This window comes from Homo sapiens, chromosome 14 (assembly GCF_000001405.40).
Source record: "Homo sapiens chromosome 14, GRCh38.p14 Primary Assembly".
Lineage (NCBI taxonomy): Eukaryota > Metazoa > Chordata > Mammalia > Primates > Hominidae > Homo > Homo sapiens.
In genome coordinates, this window is record NC_000014.9 from 60,807,589 (window position 1) to 60,820,767 (window position 13,179).

A 13,179-nucleotide genomic window follows, 5' to 3' on the forward strand; every position below is an offset into this window, starting at 1 on the left:
TATTATAGTAACTTTGATTTACATATGGAAAATTAGAAGGGAATATGGCATTCATAATTCAAATTATTTTGAGTTGGAATTATAAAAAGAGAGTTGTAATTTACAGAAAATTTAGTAGTATCTAAACATGTCTCAGTGGTTCTCTTAAGAAATTCTTTTACTTTAAGTTTTGGTGCCAGTTTATCCTTTATTTTTCTTCTTAAGTTCCAACTCCTTTATTTCATACGTTTCTAGAGCTAGACTACAAGGGAAGTAATTCAAGCCTGTGTCTACTCATGTTGGAGACAATTGGAATGGGGATAAAACCTGTTTTTTGTTTGATATAAATTATAAAAATATATGATTTTTTAACTCTTTTTTTAAAATTCTGATTCTTGTAGTAGATTCCAGACTTACTCTTTATATTAAAAAAATTTAAACAATTTTTTTATGCTTTTAAAGCTAGAGAGGGGACTATAAAAATCAGATCTAAGCACATATCTTAGGTTTTCTGGAGTGATCCTGACATTTAGGTATTTTGTGCGAGTCAGACAGTCTGTCCTTGTGTTTGGCTTGGAAAACATGTTTGCCGTAACTAGAGCTAGTCTCTAAAATAGGTAGCTGATTAAAAGGTCACAAATAGAGCTATAAAGAATGACAACCTAACAAATGAGTCACTGTGGTATTTGTTTTTTATTGTCTACTCAAGATTTATATTAAAAATATTTTTCATGTCATCGTTTCCTTTCTAATGCAGTTTTCAACTTGACCAACAATGTGGATTTGGACAACACCAAAAAGAAAATGGAGATATACCAAAAGGAAAACAAAGATGTTATTCAGAAAAATAAATTAAAGCTGGTCGGTTGCTAAGTATTTTCTTCTTATTTTGTCTTAGAAACAAATGTTTCCACATGATACTTTAAAAAGCCATCTTCCTTTAAACCAGTTACATTTATAGAAAATTTAGCTGAAATTTAGACCAGAAATATGAATATATGCTGTATAGGTATGTAGGTAGGCAGGCACACATTACTGTAGCAAAAACCACTTTGACAGCATTATGTTAGACTGTGCTTTCTTAAGGAAGTGGATCCGTAAGATAGGTGATTGTTAACGCTAGTTTTATCTGCCTGTATAATCTTCTGGTAAGTGAGCATTTGGACAGTGGTCACAAAACACTGGAGGCTCATTTTTATCCTTGGACATTAATTTCTCTAAAGGAGAGAGAAAACCCAGACAGACGGTGATGGAGCTACCAAGAGGGAGATAAAACAAAAACACTATTTATTAGAAACTAAAATGAATTCATGATTAGATCAGAGGAACACATTTGTAAACTAAGGTTAACTTTGGTTTCTCAATTAGTTACCTTTTTTGTTTTACCGAAAGAGTAACATTGCTAGATATAAATATGATTTTGGTTTGTTTTAGTTGATCTCATGTTGAAGTTTGTTTTGAAAATATCTCAGGAGTCATTATTATTATATGTATTAGAATGTATTCTATAAAGAAAAAATTGTATGCATGCAAAGGAGCAATTGTCTAATTTATACACTTTAGCTATCATTTCTATAGTACAGTTTGGCTTTCTAGTTGTAGGGGAAAGCAGAGGTAATTACGTTTGAGATACTTTATCAGGATTTTGTAATAATCAGTGAAAAGGATACAAGTATATTTGGATCACATAGCTTATATTTTCATTTTGTATTTAGAAGAGACTTCCTCCTTGTAGTCTTATAGTGTTTTATATCAGCATTTCTTTCCTGCTGTAAAACTCTCAATGAATTGATACTACATTTTCATTCCATTCATAGCTAGCCTAGCTTTCTTTTAAAAGTATCTTATTTCTGAGAGCATCAGTATGTCATTAATGTTACTCTCTTTGCCTAGTAACCTTCTCTGGGAACATCAGAAGATACATGCAAAATAGGTATGCGTAGGTAAAATGTTTCATTAACCCCAGGTGTTGGTATTACAGATGTGAGCCACCACTTTTATCATGAAAGGGCGTTACATTTTATCAAAGCCTTTTCCTGCATGTATTGATATGATTATGTGATTTTAATTCTTTATTTTGTTAATGTATATTAATTGATTTTGTATGTCAAACCATCTTTCCATCCCAAGGATAATTCCTGCTTGGTTATGTTGTATGATCCTTTTAATGTGCAGTTGGATTCAGTTTATAAGTATTTTGTTGAGAATTTTTGCATTTTTGTTCATCAGGGATATTGGCTCACAGTTTTCTTTCCTTGTGGTACCTTTGTCTGGTTTTAGTATCAGGGTAATAATGCTGGCTTCATAAAATGAGTTTGGAAGTGTCTCCCTCTTCAATTTTTTAGAAAGGTTTGAGAAGGATTGATATTAATTCTTCTTTAAATGTTTGGCAGAATTCACCACTGCCGCTTTTTCTCTGTTAGGAGGTGTGATTACTGATTCAGTGTCCATACTAGTTCTAGGTCTTTTCAGATTTCCTGTTTCTTCATAATTTGGTCTTGGTAGGTTGTATGTTTCTAGGAATTTGTCCATTTCTTCTAGATTAACTGAAGCGTAATATAATTAAGTGTTGGTGTATAATTGTTCATAGTAGTCTCTTATGATCCTTTTATTTCTGTGGCATCAGTTGTAATGTCTCCTCTTTCATTTCTGATTTTGAGTCTTCTCTCTCTTTCATAGTCTTGCAAAGAGTTTGTCAATTTTATATTTTGAAAAAACTTAATTTTGTTAATTTTTTCTGTTCTTTTTCTGTTTTCTATTTCATTTATTTTTGCTCTAATGTTTGTTATTTATTTTAATCCTTTGTTCTGCTTACTTTGAGCTCAGTTTGTTATTAAATTTCTAGCTCCTTGAGATGTAAAGCCAGGTTGTTATTTGAGATCTTTCTTCTCTTTTAAAGTAGGTGTTTATCACAAGAAACTTCCTTCTTAGTACTGCTTTTTTGTATCCCTCAAGTTTTGGTATGCTATGTTTTTGTTTTTGTTTGTCCTGAGGTATTTTCTAATTTCCTTTTTGATTTCTTCTTTGACCCAATGATTATTTGAGTGTATTGTTTAATTTTCACATATGTGCATATTTGTGAATTTTCCAGTTTTCCTTCTGCTATTGATTCCTGGTTTTATTCCATTGTGGTCAGGAAAGATACTTGGTATGATTTCAGTCTTCTTAAATTTGTTAAGACTTGTTTTGTGACCTAACTTGTGACCTATCCTGTAGAAAGTTCTGTGTGTGCTTGGGAAGATCGTGTATTCCGCTGCTGTTGAGTAGAATGTTCTGTATATTTCTGTTAGTTGTTATAACAGAAATATACAGAATTATAAAGTTGTTTAAGACTCCTATTTCCTTACTGATCTTCTTTCTGAAAGTTCCATCCATTACTGAATGTGAGTTAAGTCTCCTACTGTTACTATATTGCTGTCTATCTCTCCCTTCAGTTGTCAATGTTTGCTTTACATATTTAGTTGTTTATAATTGTTATATCTTTCTATATGTTGATCCTTTTATCATTATATAATGTTCTTTGTCTCTTTTGACAGTTTTTTAATTAAAGTCTATTTTGTCTCTTATTATGCTCTTTGTTTCAGTGAATGGTGCCAGCATTCATCCAAGTGTTCAATCCATATTTGGTCAGTCTTTATATTCTGTTGATGATCACTCCTTATCATTTTTAAGCCTCATCCCCACTCTAATTAGATTATTACTTTATTTAGGGCTCTTATTTCTATTCTTTCTTTTTTTTTTTTTTTTTTTTTTGAGATGGAACCTCGCCCTGTTGCCCAGGCTGGAGTGTAATGGTGTGAACTTGGCTCACTGCAACCTTCATTTCCTGGGTTCAAGCGATTCTCCTGCCTCAGCCTCCCGAGTAGCTGGGATTACAGGCATGTGCCACCATGCCTGACTAATTTTTTGTATCTTTAGTAGAGACAGGGTTTCACCATGTTGGCCAAGCTGGTCTCGAACTCCTGACCTTGTGATCCACCCGCCGTGGCCTCCCAAAGTGCTGGGATTACAGGTGTGAGCCGCTGCGTAGGGCTCTTATTTCTTATCTGGGTTATTTGAATATACTTCTAACTAGTCCTCCTATTGTCAGTCTTGAACCCAATTGATCTTTATGTATACCTTACTGCCTCTAGTCATCTTTCTAAACTCATCCCTCAAATTCCCTTAATATGTTCCCAGTGGCCTTAGTATAGCAAAATTCCACTAGTATGGTATAACAGAATAGTTGTTTTATTTAATAGTAACGTGTCTACATGAAATAAAGTAAATTCTATTTTCTTCAATATGGAATTGCTACATTATTAAATAATAAGTGACTAGTGTGTTTTATGCTTCCAATAAAGAAAGTATTAGAGTGTGGTATATGATTGCTCTTGGCTCCTAAATTTATTCCACGCCATATATAAATTTTTGTTTTAGACTCGAGAACAGGAAGAACTGGAAGAAGCTTTAGAAGTGGAACGACAGGAAAATGAACAAAGAAGATTATTTATACAAAAAGAAGAACAACTGCAGCAGATTCTAAAAAGGAAGAATAAGCAGGCTTTTTTAGATGAGCTGGTATGTATTAATGCTAATTGTGATTGTAAAAAACATTCTTCAGGATTTACCTTTCCTAGTAGGCTGGATGATGGCATTTAAAGGGCTTTTCCACAGTGTTTGTAATCTGGTTCACCTTTAGTTTTGTTGGTTATGTATTGATATCAGTGTATTTATTGCTGAATAAGAGGTTGCCCTCCATCCACACTGAACAATATGTTTTTATGCTCACAATTCTGTGGGTTAGGAATTTAAGTGGTTCTTTTGGGCTTTTCTGCTTCCCTAATGTATTCTCAGGACACCTCTCCATGTGGTTTTGATAGCGACAGGAGGCAGCCAAATGCCTAGGCAGATAGGGACGGGTACCCAGAGAAACCCCATCTCCATGTTGAAGACAGTTTAAAACCTGAAAGCCAAGCTACAAGTTAAATCCTTGGACCAGATTGAGAACTTGTCCTCCTGTTTGGTGTGCTTTCCTCTGATTGATCCCCACTCTTCACCTATTTTATGTATATCTACCCTTTCCTAATTGGTTTTCTACACTGTCATGCCCATCTTTGAGTAGTGTCTTCACTTCAACCTTTTTTGCTTACTCATAAGCTAATTCAGCACATTCTCCTCATCCTGTGCCTATAAAGACCCCAGACTCAGTAAGTAGAGGAAGAGACAACCTGACTTCGGGGAAGACGACTTGCTCTTCCTGTCCCCTCTCCAGCTCCCCTCTCTGCTAAGAGCTGTTTTCATCGCTCAATAAAATTATCACCTTCGCCATCTTTTAACCATCCCTGTGACCTCATTCTTCTTGGATGCCAGACAAGAGCTTGGGACCCACCAAGTGTGGGTACCCAGAAAGGCTGTCACACTGGCACTTTGCCCTTCCTGGTGGAGAGCAGCTGCCCTAGGTGACAAGGCCAGAAGCCAACTGAGCTGCCAACACACTGTTGTCTGATGGCAGAACTAAAGGAGCACTGTAACACTTCCCCTGGGGCTTTGGGGTTGTGGGCCCCCTCACCTGGGCACTGCCATGTTCCCCTTGAGGCAACATGCCTGGTCTGGCTGTGGGCCCCACGTAGAGTTTGCTTCTGTGTCCGTGCCTGGGGCGGATGGCTGGGTCCTGCACTTGCTTGCTTGTGTCTGGTCTGACTGCGGGCCCCATGCAAAACTTGTTCCTGTATTGGTGCTTGGAGCAGCTGGCTAGATCTGCGCTGACTCACCCACGTGCTCCCTCCCACATAGAGTTGAGTGCAGTGGGTCTAGTAGAGGGGAGTCCTTACCGTGAATCTAGTGAAGGGGCTGACTACATCAGAAACTGCATCAATTTCTGTAACAGTGTGATTGTACTTCTCACATGTTGGCTCAGGGTTACAAGAGAGAATATCCCAAGAATAAGGAGGTAGAAGATGCTAACATTTTAGGGCTTGGGCTAGGAAACTGGCACAGCACTGATTCCACCATATTAGTAAAAGAGCCCACTCAGTTACAAAGGGAATGGATATAGATCTCACCTCCTAATGGGAGTGTGATGGCCATCTTTAGTCCACACAGTATGTACTGGGGAAAACTATGTTTTTCTAGAATTTGGCATAATATAAATTCATTTGGGATACTCAGTCTCTATCCCAATGTGAGTTTAGTGATAAGAATTATGAAAATGACTTTCATTTTCATATTGTAGTTTGTCTTACCCTTATGCCTATTTATTTATATCATGCCAACTACTATGAAGGATTTAAAGTGATTTCCTAGATAAGAGTATTGTTTGTGGACATGGCACTACTTACTTTGTGTAACTCTAAGAACGATGTTAAAATGAGGTTCTAGTATATTTTACTTCTATATTTTTAAAAAGATTTTTGTTTAATATCCATTTTATTTTCAGATGAGAGAGTGACATTATAACTGAGATGAGCCAGTATATTCTTGATAGATTGTTTATATGGCTTTAAGCTAACTGACTAAAATACATTGTTTCTGAAGCACTTTTCTCCTGATTAATACTATTTTTCTAATAATGAGCTCATTTTGGCTCCATGCTGAAGTTTATATTGACTGTTTACTTTGTGACAATATATTTTATATTTTTGCATAAAAAAATAGTGTATTTTTGCTTGAAAGAAATAGCGGGGTTTTTGCAAATTATTGTTTTCCAGCAATTAGCTTCCTAGGTAGTCAACCTTGTTAGATAATGACAGTAATAATAACTAAGGTTTATGAAGTGTTTCATGGATTTATTACTATATTATTTGATACTTATAACCCTGTATGATATTGATGACTTCACAAACCGGAAAATCTTCCTCTCCAGGAAAGTCTTTTTGCATTCTTCTCTTTCCCTTTATGTTCATATAATTTATTTCCCTGAGGCTTTTGTGTTTGTGTGTGTGTGTGTGTATGCAGTGTTAATACACTTAACTTTCTTGTCTAGTTGATAATGCTATTATCCTATGATTGGGGAAAATATGTATATATGTGTTCTTCTACTGTGCTTTTGCCAAAAAAGCATTTAAGTCAGTTAACCAGGAGTAAAAAAAGAGAAAGCAAGATTACTTAAATTATAAGGAGGTGAGAAACTAAAGGAAAAATAAGGGTAAGGGCATTCATGAGGCTTAGATAGAAAACACTGTCATAAAACTCTATTTTCTATGACTGGAATGTGAATTTGGCTCTAAAAATGAGGACACCAGCATATTAAATAGAATAATGACGCCTTCCCTAGCAACTTTCATTAGTTCTTTCTTGAAACTATTAAGTGGCAGGTATGGCTTTAACAGTGAAATGACATGTTGTATTTTATATTTTTGTAGCTGTTTGGTGAGAAATTAAAAACTTTAAAAATGAATTAGTAAATTGATGTTACTAATTATTAGTATATAGTTACTAATTATAATTGTTTTATTGAAAGATTCTTCCCCTTATCATTTTATACAAAGAGTTACAGGCTCTTTTTTGGATAATGCTTCTCTTCTATATAATTAATTGAATTAATCCCAAATATAGAACTTTGATAGAAAATATGCTTTTAACATTTTATGTTCCATCTAATAAAAAAAGTTTTTAGATTTTATTTTGAGGTTAGCCAGCTTTGCATAACAATTATTCTTGCATATTCTTTTTCCCTTTTTTTTTTTGAGATGGAGTCTTGCTCTGTGCCCCAGCTGGAGTGCAGTGGCGTGATCTTGGCTCACTGCAACCTCTGCCTCCCTGGTTCAAGCAATTCTTTGCCTTAGCCTCCCGAGTAGCTAGGATTACAGGTGCCTGCCACCATGCCCAGCTAATTTTTTTGTATTTTTGGTAGAGATGGGGTTTCACCATCTTGGCCAGGCTGGTCATGAACTACTGACCTTGTGATCCACCCGCCTTGGCCTCCCAAAGTGCTGGGGTTACTGGTGTGAGCCACCGCGCCCAGCCGCATATTCTTTTAGTCTTTAAAGTACTGTTTTGCTGCCTCATTGAGCTGCTATTGACATGAAGCTCCCCTTTGATTCAGTGAGGCATGAAGCAAGATGTGAAACTACCATTGTTGTACATTGTGTGTAATCTGGAGTTAATATTGATTTTTGTGAGTTCTTTCTCCCACTTCCTGTTTTCTTCACCTGCAAGTCATTACTGCACATACTTTCCTCAGTGTTTAGATCATATAACATGATGATTAAATAATTCTTAGTAATTTACTGTATTCATTAGTGCAATTAATTACAACAGATTGGTTTAGAATACCACTGCAGTTTGAATTTCTGGTTTTCATTTTTAAACTTATTTTTAGATTTTGTTATGTTTATTTTTCAGTCTTTATACAATGTTATAAATGTTAAAATACTTTAAATTTTTATGACTAATGAATTCATTAAATTTATTTTTATCCTCTTGAATCCTTATTAACTAAGTAAAAGAACGTATTTCTTTTTCTGTATATGTTCATGTGTGAGATTTTGTTTAAAAAACAATAGCATTTGTAAATATGTCTAGAAGCTTAATTCTTATAATTAATCTCTGGACCTAATTTACACAAGTACTACTTATTAGAATTTTTTTCCTCCTGTTTTTGGTTCTGGTCTTTGTGCCAAAAGTCACTTTTTAACCTTTTAAAAAGTATTTGCATTATATTATACTGTATGTGACGGGATTTTAATGTTATGGTCTTAATGTTTATGGCTTAGTATTTGCAGTAATGTTGGCTAAAAGGTCCATTTATTTAATCCTAACTGTAAATTCAATTTTAAAAAAGTTTGGAAAAAGATTTTTAAACAGGTCCTGGCTTATTAAATCTTTTTATATTCCTGTTTGAAAATTCGCTTCAGTTTATGTCTTAAATTTTGTATGGGCTAATATTGTTGTCAAACGCAGTAGGTGATTTTTATTAGAAATATTGTTTGCCAGATGGCTTGCTTAAAGTCAGTTAAAATAATCTTTTAAAAATGGTCATTATAAAGCTTTTAATGAGTATTACAGGCAGTTCTTACTAAAATTTCTTTAAATATTAAACAGTGTGCCTTCAGGCAATTAATACAGGTTAGGGAACCTTTTAAGGTAAAATGTAATGCAAAGAATGAAATAACTTGAAAGGCTAAATCTGCATGTTAGATATTCCCCAGAGCATGCATGTTTCACATAGTTTATTTTACTCCATTAATATTTTTTGTTGTTGGAACTCCTACTTAATTCTAGTTTAACACTTAGTAAGGCTTCCAGGCTTCAAAATTTGAGTGCTAAAATAGAATAAAGTAGGTTGGAACTAAATTCTGTGCTTCAATATCAAAAGTGTTTTAGATCCTTAGAATGTTTGTTTTTATTAGATTTCAGCTGTTTACCAAGACACTTTAACATTCAGTTCCTTTTATGTGAATGTGAAACCAGGATTAAAACAAGCTAAAGTCTTGACTAGCAACTTTTTTTTTGAAGTTAATACGTTGCTTTTATGTAAGAATTTTTGCTTTTTAAAGGAAATACCAGTTAAAGAAGAGCACTTGAATTGATTTAGAGTATAAATTGAAAAGCAATACTTTTAACTTTTTAGCTAAGGAAATTTATTTTTCTTTTGTTAGTTTCTACATGTGAAAAGATAGAATAGCTTTTAAAAGATATTTTTTTGATCACAGCCCATTAAAAATGTTCTTTAATTTTATATTTTATTATAAAATTCTTAATGTAAATCTAGAATAGCTGCAAGGAATCTTAGCAATACAGTTACTCATGCATTACTAATGCTTTGGTGTAGAATATAAAAGGTATTCTAGTATATTCTCCTCGTACTATATTTCATCACTTTTCCTTCATTATTGTTAAAGCCAGGTCTTAATGATTTTGCTCCTTAATAAGTTTACATCTTATAAATAAATAAAATTTGTGTTCTTCCATTTACTATTAAAAGTTTTAAACTTTGTAACATTGCTCTTGCAAAACACTTCTATTATAAAATCTTGATGTGCAACTTTATTCTAGGACAATTCTATTGAATTAAGTTGCTTATTTGAGTTATTTCTATACTGTAACCTTAAACCAATTCCTTTAAGTCTGTTAATTAACCACATTTGTGCCTAAAAAATTATTAAGTTGCTAGATTTGGAAAGAAAATTAAAATCTGTATGTTTGCTTTGTGCTGTGAAATGTTAACAATAGAGTTTCTTCAGGATCAAATTCTGTGTAGTCACTATTTTAACATCTATAGCCTCTTTGAACAATATGTTTTAGCACATTATCCTGGTATAGGAGATAAAAATGTATTTGACCTTCATCTCTGTTTATGATACAGAAAATTCTCAATCTCTCTCTCTGCTTGTGTGTTTGTGTGTGTGTGTTTGTTTGTGTGTGTAGGAAAGAGAGAGAGAGATCTCTTCTTCCTCCTGGTACGTCCTTCTGCATATGTTTTTGGATTCTTATTTAACTGAAAACTCAGAAAGGAAAATGTCTGGATATCATTTAGTTTAGACCTTAACTCCACAGCACTTTAAAGATGTAAGAGGACTTCTTGTTAAACAGAATAAATAACAGTCTACATATAAAAATTAGTAATTTGCTTATGGTATTAAAATGTGTCTGAGTGCTTATAATTAATATATTAAAATGTTTAACTGTCATTTTGTTACTTAAGTTAGAAAACATAGACTTAAATTTTAAAAGTAAGTTAGTAAAGGAGAAAATAAATATACTTTTGGTTGTACTTACAATAGTTTCATTGTGCAAAATAGAACAAGGATCATTTCCAAACGGTCTCAGGTGAAATCTAATGGGAAACAATTTCAAACTGGTCTAAATTTACTGGTAAAAAGAATGCGTCTTAGATAAACATCTGATCTAAGTTATAGTACTTTGTACTACTCTTTTTGTGATTAGCTTATTTTTTTCGTTTTAATAAATGTGGTTGGTTTGCTAGTTGAAATAGGAACTTTTAATGTGGATTTTATAAAAATACTTGTTTGCAGGTTATTTTGATTTATGAATCTACAACAGCCTTTTCTTATTATGGAATGTTAATATTTTTTGTAAAGTGTCCTCCATAATGTGAATATTTAGTTTGACATGAAATGCTTATGGAAAAGACATAATTTAAAATAAAAGTCTTGTTGTTTTTAGTTTTCCCTTTTTACATTTCTTATTGAACTTGAACTATTCTTACAGGAGAGTTCTGATCTCCCTGTTGCTCTGCTTTTGGCTCAGCATAAAGATAGATCTACCCAATTAGAAATGCAACTTGAGAAACCCAAACCTGTAAAACCAGTGACGTTTTCCACAGGCATCAAAATGGTAAGCCTTATTTTAATTGCTTGTTTGAAAGATATTTTTTCAAGGATTATGCTTTATAATTTTACACGATTTCTATAGTAAACCGAAATGTTCAGATGTTTAAGAACAGTGTCTGATCTAGTTTTAGGTGTCTGGAAATATGGATGGGTGCAGTATGAGGAAAGTGAAACAAATAATTTTCAGAGTATACAACACAATTTTTTTGTATGTGAATTGGGTTTGTATGACTTTCTTACTCTACTTACATTTTTAAGCTTGTAGTGTAGAAAAAAATTTATAAATATTGTTTGGAGAGTAGTTACCATCTGCAGATATGAAATGGGAAAGCAAATGTATCAATTAGTGTTTTCTTCTAAACAGTCTTCTTCACATATATATTTTTAAAAACTCTGAAAGCCATTTTTAGTTTCTAGACTGATGAATAGATTAATTTGGGTTTCAAAAAATTTATTTTATATTGTATTGTTATATTTTATTGTTTATTTTAGCATTCAAGGGAAAGATTTTATAAGCCAATGATGTTTTTGTATACTTTTACAGGTTTTTTTTTTTGTTTAGAAAATATATACTTTGGCATATTAACTTTAACATGTGTTTAATATTTAGATGTTTGAGATGTAGCCACTCTAAATATGTAGCATTCAAATTCCTAATTATCTTTTAAAATAGTCTCATTAGAGTAGTATAAAATGTGGTTAGAAAAGATAAATGTTTGAGGTGATGGATATCTCAATTACCCTGTTTTGGTTATTACATATTGTATGCATACAGGTATCAAAAGTACCACAAAATATATGCAACTACTCTGTATCAATTAAAAACTGGTTTTAAAAAAGTTGTGGCAGCACTACAAAGTCATGGTTACGGATTTGGACTTTGAATCCAAACAGACCTGAGTTCAACTCTCAACAACCCATTTATCCAGCTGCTTGACATGAACAAATTACTTTGCCTTTCCAATAAGCCTTTTTTTCCCATCTGTGGAACGGTGATGATAATACTGATCTCATAAACGTGTTGGGAAATAATGTGAACAAAGTACACAGTATAGTACTTGGCTTATTGTAAGCTCTCAATAATTGAGGTTAGTTTTTATTGATAATAACGAGTTGATAACACAAATGGCTATACTAATTCCCTAAATCTTTACCTAGTTTTTATATACATAAAATTCATTTTTATACATAGTTTTAAAATTCAAGATGATGGAGGTTGCAGAATCTTTGTTTGGCTTTTATCATTATATGCCTGCATTTCAAAGTCAGTGTTAATGACATGCAATATTGAAGTGGTGGGAGTTTACTGGTAAAAGACCAGTAAACTCAGTAATTTTCAAGAATAAAGTCTAGTATTCAGATGACACAATGTAGCTACAAGCCTCAGGAATGTATCCCCTATTGTAAATTGAGCATGATGAGTATGCAAGAACGAATGCCTCAAAACATTATCAAAGTATATTTTAAATTAGAGATAATACTCTAATTTTAAGAGGCAAAGGACCGTTTCTTTCCTTTGACCTCAATGGATAAAGTCATATTTAATTTTACTGTTGCTTCCACTTTAGCAAATGTGTAGCAGCTGCTCCTATTTTCTAGTTCTCTTCCTTTTATAGTATATATAATATTAAAATAAGATCTGGCTTACAGTCTAAGTAGAAGATACAAGAACTCATCTTAAGTCTTTTGCAACTTTTTTTTTTTTTTTCAGTTGCTGACTATAGAATTTGAAAATCTAGATACTTCGGTATTAAGTTGGCTCTACTTTTAAAATTTATCTTGAATTTACCCACTTCTCTCCACCTCTTATCATCCTAGGATAATTGCCATCATTTCTTTAGTGGACTATCACAGTAACATTCCACCTGGTGTCTCTATTCATCTGTGTACCCCATAATCTAGTCTATAAGCCTTTGGGTGGTTT

At 33.1% G+C, this 13,179-nt stretch overlaps 1 protein-coding gene across 6 annotated transcripts in view; it reads left to right on the forward strand.

Moving 5' to 3' along the window:
- Nucleotides 1–13,179, forward strand: part of MNAT1 (MNAT1 component of CDK activating kinase) — a 235,205-nt gene that overhangs the window by 72,828 nt on the left and 149,198 nt on the right. For 5 of the 6 annotated variants that reach the window (NM_002431.4, XM_005267688.4, XM_017021332.3 and 2 more), the window contains 3 exons: nt 737–840; nt 4,399–4,539; nt 11,134–11,259. In NM_002431.4, the coding sequence (NP_002422.1) occupies nt 737–840; nt 4,399–4,539; nt 11,134–11,259 (371 nt within the window). The remainder of the gene's footprint in view (nt 1–736; nt 841–4,398; nt 4,540–11,133; nt 11,260–13,179) is intronic. The other variant, NM_001177963.2, reaches the window with a different exon arrangement.